The sequence below is a fragment of the Homo sapiens genome, chromosome 14 (genome assembly GCF_000001405.40).
Source record: "Homo sapiens chromosome 14, GRCh38.p14 Primary Assembly".
Taxonomy (NCBI): domain Eukaryota; kingdom Metazoa; phylum Chordata; class Mammalia; order Primates; family Hominidae; genus Homo; species Homo sapiens.
The window spans coordinates 63,933,872-63,949,587 of NC_000014.9; the positions used below are offsets into that span (position 1 = coordinate 63,933,872).

General features: G+C 40.6%; 1 protein-coding gene across 29 annotated transcripts in view, besides 1 other annotated feature; it reads left to right on the top strand.

Moving 5' to 3' along the window:
• Nucleotides 1–15,716, top strand: part of SYNE2 (spectrin repeat containing nuclear envelope protein 2) — a 464,854-nt gene that overhangs the window by 172,276 nt on the left and 276,862 nt on the right. For all 29 annotated transcript variants that reach the window (XM_047431152.1, XM_011536576.3, XM_047431149.1 and 26 more), the window contains 4 exons: nt 6,743–6,804; nt 7,824–7,919; nt 8,014–8,091; nt 8,180–8,272. In XM_047431152.1, the coding sequence (XP_047287108.1) occupies nt 6,743–6,804; nt 7,824–7,919; nt 8,014–8,091; nt 8,180–8,272 (329 nt within the window). The remainder of the gene's footprint in view (nt 1–6,742; nt 6,805–7,823; nt 7,920–8,013; nt 8,092–8,179; nt 8,273–15,716) is intronic.
• Nucleotides 155–324: an enhancer, noted in NCBI's record as "experimental_35095 CRE fragment used in MPRA reporter constructs". NCBI's record gives its function as "activates a minimal promoter by MPRAs in K562 erythroleukemia cells, with activity observed for both the introgressed and non-introgressed 14:64400829 variant alleles {active_cell/tissue: K562}" and the evidence as "EXISTENCE:reporter gene assay evidence [ECO:0000049][PMID:34662402]".

The window sequence follows — 15,716 nt, forward strand, 5'->3', positions numbered from 1 at the left end:
CAGCCTTTGAAAAGAACAAAAGGTTCCTTATCCTGCCATAGGGTGAGCTATTTGGCGCTGGTTCCCATTGAATACTGCCATTCAGGGATAAAGCAGTATGAAAACGTGAGAAAAGTGTGTCAGGGGATAAATGGAATGGCACATATGAAACCATTTAATTGAGCTGCTATAAAGGTGTTTAATTGCACCTGGGATGTCTTTGTTTGCCATTAAGCAAAGGTTCTTTATTGCATTTAGAGGGTTCTGATTTCCAGGATGAAGAGGCATTCTCTAAGTTCGGACAATGAGTTTAAAAGCCATGCAGATTTCTTTCCAAATCTTTTTTTCTGAAGATTTCATTTGTGCACTGTCTCCTTTGCTAACTGGAGAATACCTGTGGGGATTTGTTCTGGCTGCTCCTCTTAGTGTTTTTTCCCTTGTTTTATTAGAGTTTAATCAGATTAGGACAGAGGTAACTTCTACTTTTCCTTAGAAAAGTTTTGATTATTTTAAATTCAAGTTTATGTCTCTGTCAGGGGATGTTCCTCAGTTTACTCTCCGATTATGTGCTCCATTTGAACAATCCAGTTAGAGCCCTGATTTTGCTGCCACTTTTCTCAGCTAGGAAAGCTCATAGTCACAGGTTGCTTAGTATAAGACCCCTTTTATCTAGTATCATGTGCAAATGAAATGACCCCTCATCTTATTTGGAAATAGCTCAAAATGGCCGAGGTTTCCAGGTGGGCATGGATTGGGAAGACTCCGTGGGCACACAGTGGTCTTATTCACTCAGTTTCACGCTGCATTTCACCTCCTCTGAGGTTGTTGAGTTGTGCTCCTCCTTCCTGCCATAACTCCCCTCAAGTCAGTGCATACTCTGTCTCTTGGACCTGATACTATTGCTGATTAGTTTCTTTTTTACACCTTATCATCTAGATGGAAAAATCTCTCTTGGTCCCTTAAAAATAAGGAAGAGAGTAATCTTTGTTTTTGTTGTTGTTTGTTTTCATTTTGAATGTCTGCTCTATTGCTAGGAATGGATAGGGCCCTCTCTGCTTTTACATGTGACCCCGATTAGTGTACAGTGTGTGCATATAACTTGATCTTGGAATCACAAAAACTTGTTCTCTGGTTTTTTTCTATTAAGATATAAAATTAGCCTTTGATGCTTTTTTTTTTTGGGAAGTGGCAATACATGTTTAAAAGTTATTCTCTTCTCATGCTAGGGGACAAAACAATGAAAACATTGCTCAGAGATTCTAGGAGATTTAGTATAGTTTTGAATTATAGGACAAAATTGTGGTGCTCTGGAATTACTTCGTTGAGAGAAATTTATATAAGACAGGAATAACTCTCAAAAGCCTGAATTATCCAGTTGGCTAATCAGAACTCAATTTAGTTCAGTTAGCAATTATTGAGCACCCTATAAAGTGTATATCAGTAGTCTATAACTAATTTAAACTGGTAATGCATAAAAAATGGAATGGATTAAAAAGGAAAAAAATTCCAGTGAGGCTTGGTGCATCTTTAATCTCTAATCAGTTGCAATATTTACTAGGCAGTTGGAAACACCACAAAATTCCATTTATGCTGCTAGGCCTTTTAATTCTTCAACCAGAGCTCTTGTCTACTTCAAAATTTTTCTAGAACTTAAATTAGATGTCATACTTTTGCACATATTGCAGGCCAAATACCAACAATTTCAATTCACTATGACTATTAGATAGAGATTAATAAGGTAGAGAAAAGTCCAAGGAAAACAATGTAGTAGAAGGTAGAACAGACAACCTTAAGAGAAAGGACTGTGAACTCATAAAGGTAGATTTGCTTCAATATAGTAAAATATAACAACCACAGTGATAATTAAAAACATTATTATTAGGTTGAGTGTGGTGGCTCACACTTGTAATTCCAGCGCTTCGGGAGGCCAACGTGGGAAGATCACTTCAGTCCAGGAGTTCAAGACCAGCCTGGGCAACGTAGTCAGACCTCATCTCTACTAAATTAAAAAAAGAAAACAAAACATTATTATTATTATTATTGAGACGGAGTCTCGCTCTGTCACCCGGGCTGGAGTGCAGTGGCACAATCTTGGCTCACTGCAACCTCTCCCTGCCACATTCAAGCGATTCTCCTGCTTCAGCCTCCTGAGTAGCTGGGATTACAGGTGCCCACCACCATGCCTGGCTAATTTTTGTATTTTTAATAGAGATGGGGTTTCACCATGTTGGCCACGCTGGTCTCGAACTTCTGACCTTGTGATCCGCCCACCTTGGCCTCCCAAAGTGCTGGGATTACAGGCGTGAGCCACCGTGCCCAGCCCAAAATATTCTTATTATTTCAGAAAATATTTATTTAGGGCCTACACTGGGCCAAGCTTTTCTAGGCACTTGGGACATAGCACAGACAAAGCATCTTTGCCTGTGTTGTGGTGCGTAAATTCTGTTGAGAGGAGAGTGAGACATTAACAATAAACTTACTGCATAAGTAATTTATCTGGAGTGTTAAAAGAGATAAGTACCCTAGGGAAAGAGAATAGAGCAGGACAAGAGGGATCGGGAGTTGGGGGTGTTACAATTTTAGATCGGACAGTCAGGGTAGACCTCTTAGATGAGGTGTTGTCTGAGCCAGGATTTGAAGGAGGTGAGGGAATTCACCTGTGGATAACAGTAGAAAGAACATTCCTAGAAGAAAGAACAGCTGGTGCCAAAGCCTAAGGTGGGAATGGGCCTGGGGAGTTTGAGGAATACAGGAGGCCAGAGTGGTTGGAGCAGAAGCAGCAGGTGGGAAGCAGGGAAGGGCAGATGGTGCTGGGGCTTGTAGCCATCATGAGGAGTGAAGGGAGGAGCCCTTGCAGGGTTTTGAGCAAAGGAGTTTCCTGATCTGAGTGAACATTTTAGCAACATCACTGCCTGCTGTGCTGAGCATAGTATTTTGGGGCAAAGCTGGAGGGAAGATCTGTTAGGAATCTGTCGCAGTAACCCAGGTGGAGGTGATGGTGACTTGGGCCAGGGTGGTGGTGATGGAGGTGGTGAGAAGTGGTCATATCCTGAATATATTGTGAGGGTGGACCTAACAGGATATCTGGAGGCATTAGATATGAAACGTGAGAGAAAGGGAGGAGGCAACCTTGATGAAGGAGGAAAATCAGGAGTCTGGTTCCTGGAAGCAGGAGAGGAGAATGATCATCTATATCAGATGCTGCTGATGGGTCCAGCAGGATGAAGGTTGAGAATAGACCATTGGTTTTCATGAGAGTGTGTCATCGAGGACCTTGATTCAAGTGACCATGATGAGAAGCTGTTTCAGTCGAATGGCAGGGACCTAATCGGTATGGGTTCAGTTAAGAGTGAGGGAGGAGAAGACCTGGAGACAGTAAACACAAACTATTTGAGGCATTTTGCCGCAAAGGAGCAGACAAATGAAGCGATGGCTGGTTGGGAACTGGCGTCAAGAGGTTTGTTTTTGGATGGGAGAATTAACAGTATGGCTGTATACTCATGGGAATTGTTTAAGAGAGTGGGGGAAGACGATGATACGGAAGAGGTAGGAACAGAATGTTCTTGCGTTGGAGCACAGGGATGGGATATAGTGTACAAGTGAAAGGATTGGCTTTAGTTCTGAGCAAGGCTAGTTCATCTGTGCTGATAGGTTGGAAGCAGAGCACTTTTGCAGGTTGTTAGATGAGTGGGTGGGAAGCAAGGTTTCAGCTGAGTTTAATGATGAGGGAGGAGGTATTGGATGTTTGTGGAAGAAGAAAAGGGGTTAAGTTGCCATCTGGGGACAGGGAGAGGGCCATATAGTGTGAGATTACTGGGCAGCTTTTAGGGCCCACTGGGGCTGCTGGTGAGACCAGTGAGCACTGTTGAGTGGGTTTCTCCAGCCACATTCAGCAACCTGTTTGTAGGATGAAGTGCACAGAGTAGTCATGAAGTGTCAAAGCAAATAGAACAAAATAGGTGAAATGCAAGGAGTGTTGGTAATAATTGATCATGGAACTTAAAATGGATAAGAATGAAAGGTAGGATATCCTGGGGGTGAGGGACACTGAAAAACTGGCAGAGTCAATGGCTTGGAGTTGTTGATGAACTGAAATGATTGCTGGAGTTGGGGCACTAGAGTGAGTGAACTGAATGGAGATGCATGAACTTGAGATCATGGAGGAGTTGTTATTAGTAATGACAAAGTCTGGAGTATGACCACGACAGCAAGGTGATTGACGCAGGGCAGAAGACAAGTGTATTGGAGAGGAGGAATTCGAGAAACTGAGGGGCCAGGACATTGGAAAGTTCATTGCTGTGTATATTGAAATTGCCAAGAATAAGGCCAGGTGTGATGGCTCACGCCTGTAATCCCAGCACTTTGGGAGGTGAGTTGGGAGGATTGCTTGAGCCTAGGAGTTTGAGACCAGCCTGGGTAACGTGGTGACACCCATCTCTACAAAAAATTTAAAAAATTAGCTGGACATGGCAGTACACGCCTGTAGTCCCAGCTACTTGGGAGCCTGGGAGGTCAAGGCTGCAGTGAGTCATGATCACACCCCTGCACTCCAGCTTGAGCAACAGAGTGAGACCTTGTCTATAAATAAGTAAATTAGAAAGTACTAAGAATTAGACTATTGGACAGAGTGACAGTGGAGAAGGAGCAGAAAGGGTGGGAAATGATAGAGGTAGGTAACAATTGTGATAGCAAGGATAGTCTAATGACGTGAGATTCAAAGCTAGGGGATTTCAGGGACAAAGAGGGTAGAGGATGAACTGGAGGTGGCCATGAGGAGGGAGGAAATAGTGGTACGAGGGCTGCAAGAGAAAGCAAAGCTGCCACTTGAGAGGGCTGCAGGGGAAGTGGTATTCTCAGAGGAGAGCCAGGTTTCCATGAAAGCAGGAAGGGAAAGCCTCAACACCAGAGAGGGTATTGGGCATGGAGGGGATTTTGCTGATGGCACACCACGGGTTTCATCATCCGTGGAAGCACTTTAGGACTTAAGGAGAGGTGGGAGATGAGAAAAGTTGGGGGGATATGCAGAGTCTTAACAGGAATTAGAAAGAAATGAGAGAGACCTGAGAGTCTAGAGTGCATGTGCGTGTGTGTGCGTGTGTGCATGTGTGCGCTTGCATGTGTGCATGTGAGTGTCTGCATGTGTGCATGCACTGGCTGATATAAGCAAGGATAAAGGGTATAGTGAGATGAGGCCTGGTGAACTGGAGGTTGATGGTGGCAAGGCCGTAAGCATTGGGCACAGGGTGCCATGGGTGTCTGGGCCTGTGCTTATCTCTGCCCATCCAGGTGAGGAGATGTGGGGAGATGGAAGCTCAGTTGTTGAGTGCAGGGCTAACCCTTAACCCTGGTGTTGAGAATGTCTGCTGAAAATCAGGGGGTAGAGGGCTAAGGGAGGCATGGTGTCAGTGTGGGGCCCACTCCTGCTCAGAGGGGCAAGAAGGGCTGTACTCTGAGGGTTCAGGTCTTCCCCTTGACTCCTACCTGGATTTTTTTTTTCTTTTTTTTTTTTTTTTTTGAGACGAAGTCTCGCATTGTCACCCAGGCTGGAGTGCAGTGTCACAATCTCAGCTCACTGCAACCTCCGCCTCCTCGGTTCAAATGATTCTCCGGCCTCAGCCTCCCAAGTAGCTGGGACTACAGGCGTGTGCCACCACGCCTGGCTAATTTTCACATTTTTAGTAGAAATGGGGTTTCCCCATGTTGTCCAGGCTGGTCTTGAACTCTTGACCTCAGGTGATCCACCGGCCTCAGCCTCCCAAAGTGCTGAGATTACAGGCGTGAACCACCACATCCGACCCCTACCTGTTTAATAAGAGTAATAGCCAACACTTCTTATGTGCCAGAGTCTATGCTAATCACTTTAAGTGAATCATTAGATTCTTATAATAATCTCTAGAGACAAATGCGTATTACTTTTTTATTAAACAAGGACACTGCTCAAGGTCACACAGCTACCCCATAACAGAAACAGGATTTGAACACAGTTCTCTCTGACTAATTACAGCCCATTTACAGTTAATTCAGTGGCGATATATTCTCCATGATAAATGTTAAGACTAAACCTTAATGATTTCATGTGCCATTTAAAACATCTTCTTATGTTCTGGGGTCATCTTTACTAAACGGTTTGGGCTTAAACTTAAAGTCTAGGTTAGGAACTCCTGTTGCTGCTCACAGTTCTTTGTACAGTACTGTCAAGGTGGTATAGGGTCTCAGTTCATTTTTTTTTTTTTTTTTTCTTTCATGAAACAGAGTCTTGCCGTGTTGACCAGGCTGCAGTGCAGGGGCATGATCACGACTCACTGCAGCCTTGACTTCCTGGGCTCAAGCCATCTTCCCCCCTCACAGGTTCATGCCACCATGCCTAGCTAATTTTTGTATTTTTTGTAAAGATGGGATTTCTGTATGTTGTCCAGGCTGGTCTCAAACTCCTGAGCTCACACGATCTGCTTACCTCGGCCTCCCAAGTGCTGGGATTACAGGTGTGAACCACAGCACCGTGGTCCTAATTCTTTTATCAGTAAAAAATATTAAAAACCATTGTCTCGTCAACAAACCCATGGTTTTAAAAAAATATCGTATCAACATGGTTTTTCTAAAACACTACTTGGACAAACATCTACAGTTTAGACTAAATCCTGGAAAGTTTGTAAGCTTGTGAAACAGGCACACACCTAGCGTGACAGACCTTTGAAGCTCTGATATGTGCAGGAGGTTTCTGAGGCTTCTGGTTTTATAACTGCTGTTGTTCTTTCTTTGATAGCTGAACAGGAAGACACCCAGAAGAAAGCCTTCACGTGCTGGATAAACTCACAGTTGGCCAGGGTAAGCAAATGAAGACCAAATTAGTTTATAAATCTATTTATTACTCCCCCTACTCCTTCTGTTTTGACCCCAAGGAGGCCATTAAAAAATGGTACTGGTGATGACAGGGAAAAGGTTGTGGAATGTCTTTTCTTGAAAGAATGTGCTAAAAGTTGTCTTGATCTTGTTTTGATGTATTTGTTACTCTTTCTCACACAGAAAAAAAGGGACTTTTGTTGAGGATATGGGACAGTGCTATAAAAATATTTAATCACATCTCTTTCATCAAGTGAAGTAATAGTAATACTGATTTGCATATAATAAATGTTATATATTAGAAACTGTCCTAAACTCTTTAAGTGTAATGATTATGACAACTCCTGACAAATAATTTCACGACATCCCTATGAAATAGATAGTAATATACCTTTTTAAAGGTCAAGGAAACTTCAGTACAGAGAAGTTTTGTGACTTGCATGTGGTCACACAGCTTAAAAGTGATAGTGCTGGGATATGAACCCAGACAGTCTGGACTCAGTGGCCTTGATCATAATCACTGTGCCATCCTACCACACTGATGCTGAGTGTCTAGAGTAACCTAGATACACAATGAATGAGCCTCTTCTCACAGACCACACACTGTTTTTTTCTCTGTCCATTTCAACACGATGCTTGTAATTCTAAGAAAGGGTAAATACATAAGCAGGTTACTCCAGAAATGTAATCTGCTTTCCAGATGGGTCACTAGCGACTGATTCTAAAAGTCTTTAATGCCACTTGTGTGCACAGGTTTTAAGCTCTCAGTGAAAGCTCCACGCAGAAAGGGTGTTGTGTTACAGGAAATTAGCCATAAGATAAATTAAATTCGCTACTTTTCTTACGTTTTGATATGAATCTTTGCATGTTCTCTCTCATTCTCTTAATTAAGAAGAAAGTCATTACTGAATTTTAGTTTTTCACAAAGCACATTTATGAGATTCTTAAAGGTATTCTTTTTGGACCAAAGTTTGAATGATTATTTTTCTTGTGACCTTCTGCAGCACACTTCTCCCTCAGTTATATCCGACCTATTCACAGACATTAAAAAGGGGCATGTCCTCCTGGATCTGCTAGAAGTACTTTCTGGGCAACAGTTGGTAAGATTTTTAAATGACACTGAGAAACTTTCTGTTGACTTAAAAAATATGTATTTCATTTTTTCTGAGTAATATATTTGCTTGAATTTCACAGCCTCGGGATAAAGGATCTAATACCTTCCAGTGTAGAATCAATATAGAACATGCCTTGACATTCCTAAGAAACCGATCAGTAAGTATAAATTTTTCTTAAAAATTCACAGGAGAGATTAATGCTCTGGGATATTTCCTCCTTTTAACCTGCACTTTTTGTTTTCCAGATTAAGCTAATAAATATTCATGTTACTGATATCATTGATGGAAACCCATCCATTATCCTTGGCCTAATTTGGACAATTATCCTGCACTTTCATGTAAGTAGTTTGATGATATAAAAATTATTTCTACCCTACCACAGTATAAAATAAATGTAATGCAATAAGTGTGAGTGGACTAGATTCAGTCCTGAGCTTCTCCTATAAATAGGACCTCTGAAAATCTTGAAGAGGTAGAAAATAATAGCAGACTTTTTGCCATTTCTGTTATTGGTTTTTTTCTCTTCTTTTTGAGATGGAGTCTCGCTCTGTCGGCCAGGCTGGAGTGCCGTGGCGCAGTCTTAACTCACAGTAACCTCCACTTCCTGAGTTCAAGTGATTCTTCTGTCTCAGCCTCCTGAGTGGTTGGGACTACAGATGCGCGCCACCATGCCTGGCTAATTTTCGTATTTTTTTTTTCTTTTTTTTGAGGTGGAGTTTTGCTCTCGTTGCCCAGGCTGGAGTGCAGTGGTGCAGTCTTGGCTCACTGCAACTTCCACCTCCCAGGTTCGAGTGATTCTTCTGCCTCAGCCTCCCGAGTAGCTGGGATTACAGACATGCACCATCACGCCCAGCCAATTTTGTATTTTTAGTAGAGATGAGGTTTCTCCATGTTGGTCAGGCTGGACTTGAACTCCTGACCTCAGGTGATCCGTCCACCTCTGCCTCCCAAAGTGCTGAGATTACAGGTGTGAGCCACCATGCCCGGCCTAATTTTTGTATATTTTGTAGAGATGGGGTTTCATCATGTTGGCCAGGGTGGTCTCACATTCCTGACCTCAGGTGATCTGCCTGCCTCGACCTCCCAAAGTGCAGGGATTACAGGCATGAGCCACCGTGCCTGTCCTGTTGCTATTTTTCAATTGAAAGTTGAATGCTGAATTATCATGATATCCTGCATTATCCATAATATCAGCACCAGTCTGAACAGAACCTGCCATGGTAAATGTTTGCTTCTTATTGTTTACTATGGCAGGGGAGAGGGTAGGAAGCTTCTGGAGTAAATGCTTGAAATCTAACCACTAAAGTTTGTAAAGCCTCCCCATTTTGGGGGACTCCTGTCCTATCTGACTGTGAATAATCCCACAACATCCAGTTCTATCCCAAGACTGAGTTGTGGATGCATTTCGTTTCACAGATATTTTTGAACACTTACTGTATGCTAGCTCTTATGCGAGGACATCAAGATTTAGTGATGGTTATAGTTCTGACTTTATAAAACATATGATTGATATGTTTTTTCAGGCCTGGAATTCTGACATAGTGCAGGGTTTCTGCACTACCTAAAATGTTGCATTTTCTGTATCTCCATAATTATTTTAAAAATAACTTAGGAAAAATATTTATTTTAGAAAAACTAGAAAAATAGCATAACTAACATATAAAATTTAAAACATGCAGAGACAGACTATATATTATTTCTGGATACGTGCATTTGTAATTACAATGGAATAATATGCATGAGATTATGAAAACTAAATTTAAGTTGTGTGTTTTTTTTCTGGGAAAGGATAAAATGGGATTGGAGAGAGAAAGAGGCTTAAATTGTATCTGTGTTTTATTTATTTTTATTTTTTTATTACTTATTATTATTATTTTTTTTTTGAGACAGAGTCTTGCTCTGTCGCCCAGGCTGGAGTGCAGTGGCACGATCTCGGCTCACTGCAACCTCCGCCTCCTGGGTTCAAGAGGTTCTCCTGCCTCAGCCTCCTGAGTAGCTGGGATTACAGGTGCGCGCCACCACGCCCAGCTAATTTTTGTATTTTTAGTAGAGACAGGGTTTTTCCATGTTGCTCAGGCTGGTATTGAACTCCTGACCTTGTGATCCACCTGCCTCAGCCTCCAAAAGTGCTGGGATTACAGGTGTGAGCCAGCACGCCTGGCCTGTGTTTTATTTCTTTAAGAAAATCTAAACCAAATATGGTAAAATGTTAAAATTTGATAGTTCATGGTCATTTATTATTTTTTCCTATAGTTTTCTGGTATTTGAAATATAATTAAAAATTTTAATATAGATAATAAAATTATCTGTAATCTACCACTCACTATAACTGCTATAAATAATTTAGTGTATAGTCTTTATGATATTTACATCAATAATTAATGTATGTTCATATGTATATATTTTAACAAAATGGGGGTCATGTTATCCATACTGTTTTCAGCATGCTCTGATGAACAGCTTTCTGAATTTTTATATATATATATATATATATATATATATAAATAAATAAATGGAGGCATGATGTTTGTTGTAAAGTACTATATTTCACTAATGGATAGTCAGAAAGCTCATGATCATTTGTAATTATAGGTAATTTCAGATAAGAATGCCCTTAAGGTAAAACCTTTGCGATACAATCTTAATTATTTCCACAGGTCAAATTCTTAGAAGTGGCATTGTGCCATAGGGTTTGCAAACTTAAAGCCTTTCTTTTTTTTTTTTTTTTTTTTTTTTGAGACAGAGTCTCGCTCTGTTGCCCAGGCTGGAGTGCAGTGGCAGGATCTTGGCTCACTGCAACCTCCACCTCCTGGGTGCAACTGATTCTGCCTTAGCCTCCCAAGTAGCTGGGACTACAGGTGTGCACCACCACATCTGCCTAATTTTTGTATTTTTAGAAGAGATGGGGTTTCACCATATTGGCCAGGCTGGTCTCGAACTCCTGACCTCATGATCTTCCTGCCTTGGCCTCCCAAAGTGCTGGGATTACAGGCGTGAGCCACCGTGCTGGGCTTAAAGCTTTTTTTTTTTTTTTTTTTTTTTTTGAAACTTCTGTATTGCTGAGGCTGGAGTGCAGTGGCGTGATTTTGGCTCCTGAATTCAAGTGATTCTCATGCCTCAGCCCCCTGAGTAGCTGGGATTACAGGTGCCCACCACCATGCCTGGCTAATTTTTGTAGTTTTAGTAGAGACTGAGTTTCACCATGTTGGCCAGGCTAGCCTTGAACTCCTGACCTCAAATCCACGCACCTCGGCCTCCCAAAATATTGGGTTTATAGGCATGAGCCACCACACCTGGCCTTTTTTTTTTTTTTTTTTTTTTAATTAAAAAATTTTAAGTAAACTTTTGTTGATGTATATGTAATACACACAGATAAAAATGAACAGGTCTTAAGTATAGAGTTTGATGAATATTTATAAATGAAACACACCCATATAATCACCCTGCCAGATAAAAATATAGAACTTTGCCAGCATCCCTAAGTGCCCCAGGTCCTTCTCCCAATCACTGCCCTCCTTTCCTAAAGGTGAGCACCGCTTTGAGCTCTGTGGATAAGTGTAGAGTCTTTAACACCATACAAATGGAATTATAAATGTCTTCTCTTATGTACACTATGTACTCTTTCGTGTTTGACTTATTTCATTTTATATCATGTCTGTGAGATTTACCTTATTGTAGCAAGTATCAGTAAGTCTTTCTTGTTCATTGCTCTGCATGAATATCCAATTGTATGAATATACCGTAACATATTTACCATTGTATTGTTGGTGCACATTTCTTTTGCTGCCAGTTTTTTTATTTGTTTGTTTTTTATTTTGTTCTGTTTTGTTTTTTTGAGACAGAGTCTCGCTCTGTCGCCCAGGCTGGAGTGCAGTGGGGCACGATCTTGGCTCACTGTAACCTCTGCCTCCTGGGTTCAAGTGATTCTCCGACCTCAGCCTCCTGAGTAGCTGGAATTACAGGTGTGTGTCACTATGCCCAGCTAATTCTGTATTTTTACTAGAGATGGGGTTTCACAGTGTTGGCCAGGCTGGTCAAGCTGTTGCCAGTTTTTAGCTGCTATGAGTAAAGCTGCTCAGAACGTTCTTGTATATACCTTGTATAAATCCTGATTTCCATCCTGCATGTACCTAGGAATGGAACTGATGGTGTCAGAACATATGATCTTTAGCTTTAGTATATACTGCCAAACAGTTAATCAAAGTGGTTGTTCCAATTTATACTCACCAGAGTTTCTTGCTCCAATCCCTGTTGCTAATACTTGGCATTTAAAATTTATTATTTAAGCCTTGATGTTATGTGTAATGATTTATAGACTTTTAAAATATATTCTAGGCTGGGTGCAGCGGCTCATGGCTGTAATCCCAGCACTTTGATAGGCTGAGGCAGGAGGATTGCTTGAGCCCAGCAATATAATACTAGCCTGGGCAACATAAGGAGACCCCATCTCTGCAAAAATAAAAATAAAAATAATTAGCTGGGAATGGTGGTACCTGCCTGTGGTCCCAGCTTCTCTGGAGACTGAGGTGGGAGAAGCACTTGAGTCTGGGAGGTTGAGACTGCAGTGAGCCGTGACTGGGCTACTGCACTCTAGCCTGGGCAACAGAGCAAGACCCTGTCTCCAAAAAACATACACATACACATATATACTGGAGATATAGATATAGATACACAGACATACACATATATACTGGAGATCATATATATGTATATATATGATCTCCAGTATATACATTATATATATTTATATATATTCTACAAAGAACTTTTGTCCAGTATATATTATATATATACTGTAATATATAACTTTTGTCCAGTATATATTATATACTGTAATATATATGATATAATATATATACTATAATATAACATATATTACAGTATAACATAATATATACTGGACAAAAGTCCTTTGTAGAATATATATATAAATTGCAAATAATTCTGACTCTGTGGCTTGCTTTTTCAATCTTTTAATGAAGAAGCATTCATAATTTTAATATAGTTTGAATTTATCAACTTCTTTTGTGGCTTATACTTTTATATTCCTTTTTTTTTTATTGAGACAGAATCCTGCTCTGTTGCCCAGGCTGGAGTGCAGTGGCACAATCTTGACTCACTGCAATGTCTGTCTCCTGGGTTCAAGTGATTCTTCTGCCTCAGCCTCCTGAGTATCTGGGGCTACAGGTGTACACCACCATGTCTAGCTAATTTTTGTGTTTTTAGTAGAGATGGGGTTTCGCCATGTTGGTCAGGCTGGTCTTGAATTCTTGACCTCAGGTGATTCACCTGCCTTGGCCTCCCAAAGTGCTGGGATTGCAGGTGTGAGCCACCATGCCTGGCCTGTTATATTCTTTAACGACCTCTTTTTACTATGAAGGTATTCTCTTACATTATTTTCCAGAAAAATTTTGTCCAATAGGATTTTCTGCAGTGATGGAACTGTTCCATAGCTACATTGTACAAAACAGTGACCACTAGCCACTTGTGCTATTGAACACTTGAGATGTGGCTAGTATGGCAGAGGAAATAAATTATTCAATTAATTTGAATTTAAATCTCACATGTGCCTAGTGGCTGTCATACTGAACAGCCCAGTTCTGAAAATGTAGTTGTTTTAAATTTTATATTTAGATCTACCGTCTTTCAAGAATGAATCAATTTTGTATGTTATGTTGAAACAATCAAAATTTACTTTTTTCATATGGCTATCCAGTTGACTCAATAGTTTATTGAAAAGCTCACCATGGCCCAGCACAGTGGCTCATGCCTGTAATCCCAGCACTTTGGGAGGCCGAGGCAGGTGGACCACCTGAGGTTGGGAGTTCGAGACCAACCTGACCAACATGGAGAAACCCCGTCTCCACTAAAAATACAAAAAATTAGCCGGGCATGGTGGTGCATGCCTGTAATTCCAGCTACTCGAGAGGCTGAGGCAGGAGAATCGCTTGAACCTGGGAGGCGGAGGTTGCGGTGAGCCGAGATCGTGCCATTGCCCTCCAGACGGGGCAACAAGAGTGAAACTCTGTCTAAAAAAAAAAGAAAGAAAAGCTCACCATGTTCCTACTGTGCTGTAGTGTCACCTTCACACGTGAAGTCGACATGAAGTCGCCCTATATGTGAAGCTCCATTTTCAAATGACCTATTTTGTTTCATCACTTCTCTTTGCACCAGTACTATACTTTGTAATTTTGGTAACTATATAGTAAGTCTTGATATCCGACAGTGTAAGTTGTCCAACTTATTCTTTAAGAAAGTCTTCATTATTATTTGCTTTTTGCATTTTTATATAAATTTTATGAATAACTTGTCAGTTTTCACACGTGTGCGTGCGCGCACATACACACACAGACACACACATACACACACACACACACACACACACACACACACTCCTGCTGGAATTTTTATTAGGATTGCATGGCATATATGAAACATTTTAGAAAAAAATTGACATTTAAAAAATATTGCATCTTTCAATCTATGAGTATAACATTTTAATCTGTTCAAAATATTTTCTAATTTTTATTACTATTTCTCATTTGACCCATGGGCCATATAAAAATATATTGCTTAGGCCGGGTGCGGTGGCTCACGCCTGTAATCCCAGCATTTTGGGAGGCTGAGGCAGGCAGATCACAAGGTGAGGAGTTCGAGACCAACCTGACCGACATGGTGGAACCCTGTCTCTACTAAAAATACAAAAATTAGCCGGGAGTGGTGGCGTGCGCCTGTAATCCGAGCTACTCAGGAGGCTGAGGCAGGAGAATCACTTGAACCGGGAGGCGGAGGTTGCAGTGAGCCGAGATTGCACCACTGCCCTCCAGCGTGGGCGACGGAGCGAGACTCCATCTCAAAAAAAAAAAAATTATATATATATGTGTGTATATATATATATATGTATATATATATGTGTGTATATATATGTGTATAGATATGTGTGTGTATATATATGTATATATATGTATGTGTGTGTGTATATATATATATATATATATATATATATATATATATATATGTAGCTTAATTTCCGAATATTTGGAGATTTTGTCTGTTATATCTTTGCTGCTGACTAGAATTTCAGTGTGGTCAGAGAGCATACTCTGAATGATTTCAGTCTTTCACAATTGCTGCAGCTTGATTTATGGTGCAGCATGGTCAGTGTCAGTAAATGTTCTGTACGCTCGTGAAAGGAATGTTGGTAGTGCTTGCCAGATCAGTGCTAATCAGATCAAGTTTGTTAATTGTGTTGTTGACATCTGTTATTATGGATTGTCTGATTAGTCTGTCATTTGTTGAGAGAAATGTATTAAATACTTTTACGTTTATGGATTTATCTTTTAATGTTTTGGGTAGATACCATATCGCCCTCCAAAAAAATTGAGCCAATTTGTACATTTACTAGCAATATAAGAATATCTAGTTTCTCATACTTTCACCATCACTGGGTATTGCCTTTACATTTACTTTGCCTGTATAATATAATAAAAGCTATTCTTTTGCTGTATACATTTAAATTTCTTAAATTATTAATGCAATTGTTTTTCATAGATTTAATGGCAATTTTATTTGTTTCCTCTGGACTTGTCTATCCATGTGTTTGACTATCTTTTTTTCTATGTGTACATTTGTTCATAATGGATGCATTTCACTTGATCCAGTCTCTAAAGATACTCTAGGAGCTCAATTTGGTTCAGTTCGATTTATTTGACAGGTGTTAAACTACAGTGAAGTGCTCCATAAGCACTTCAGGTGGATGAATTGGTGAGGGACATCCCTCAA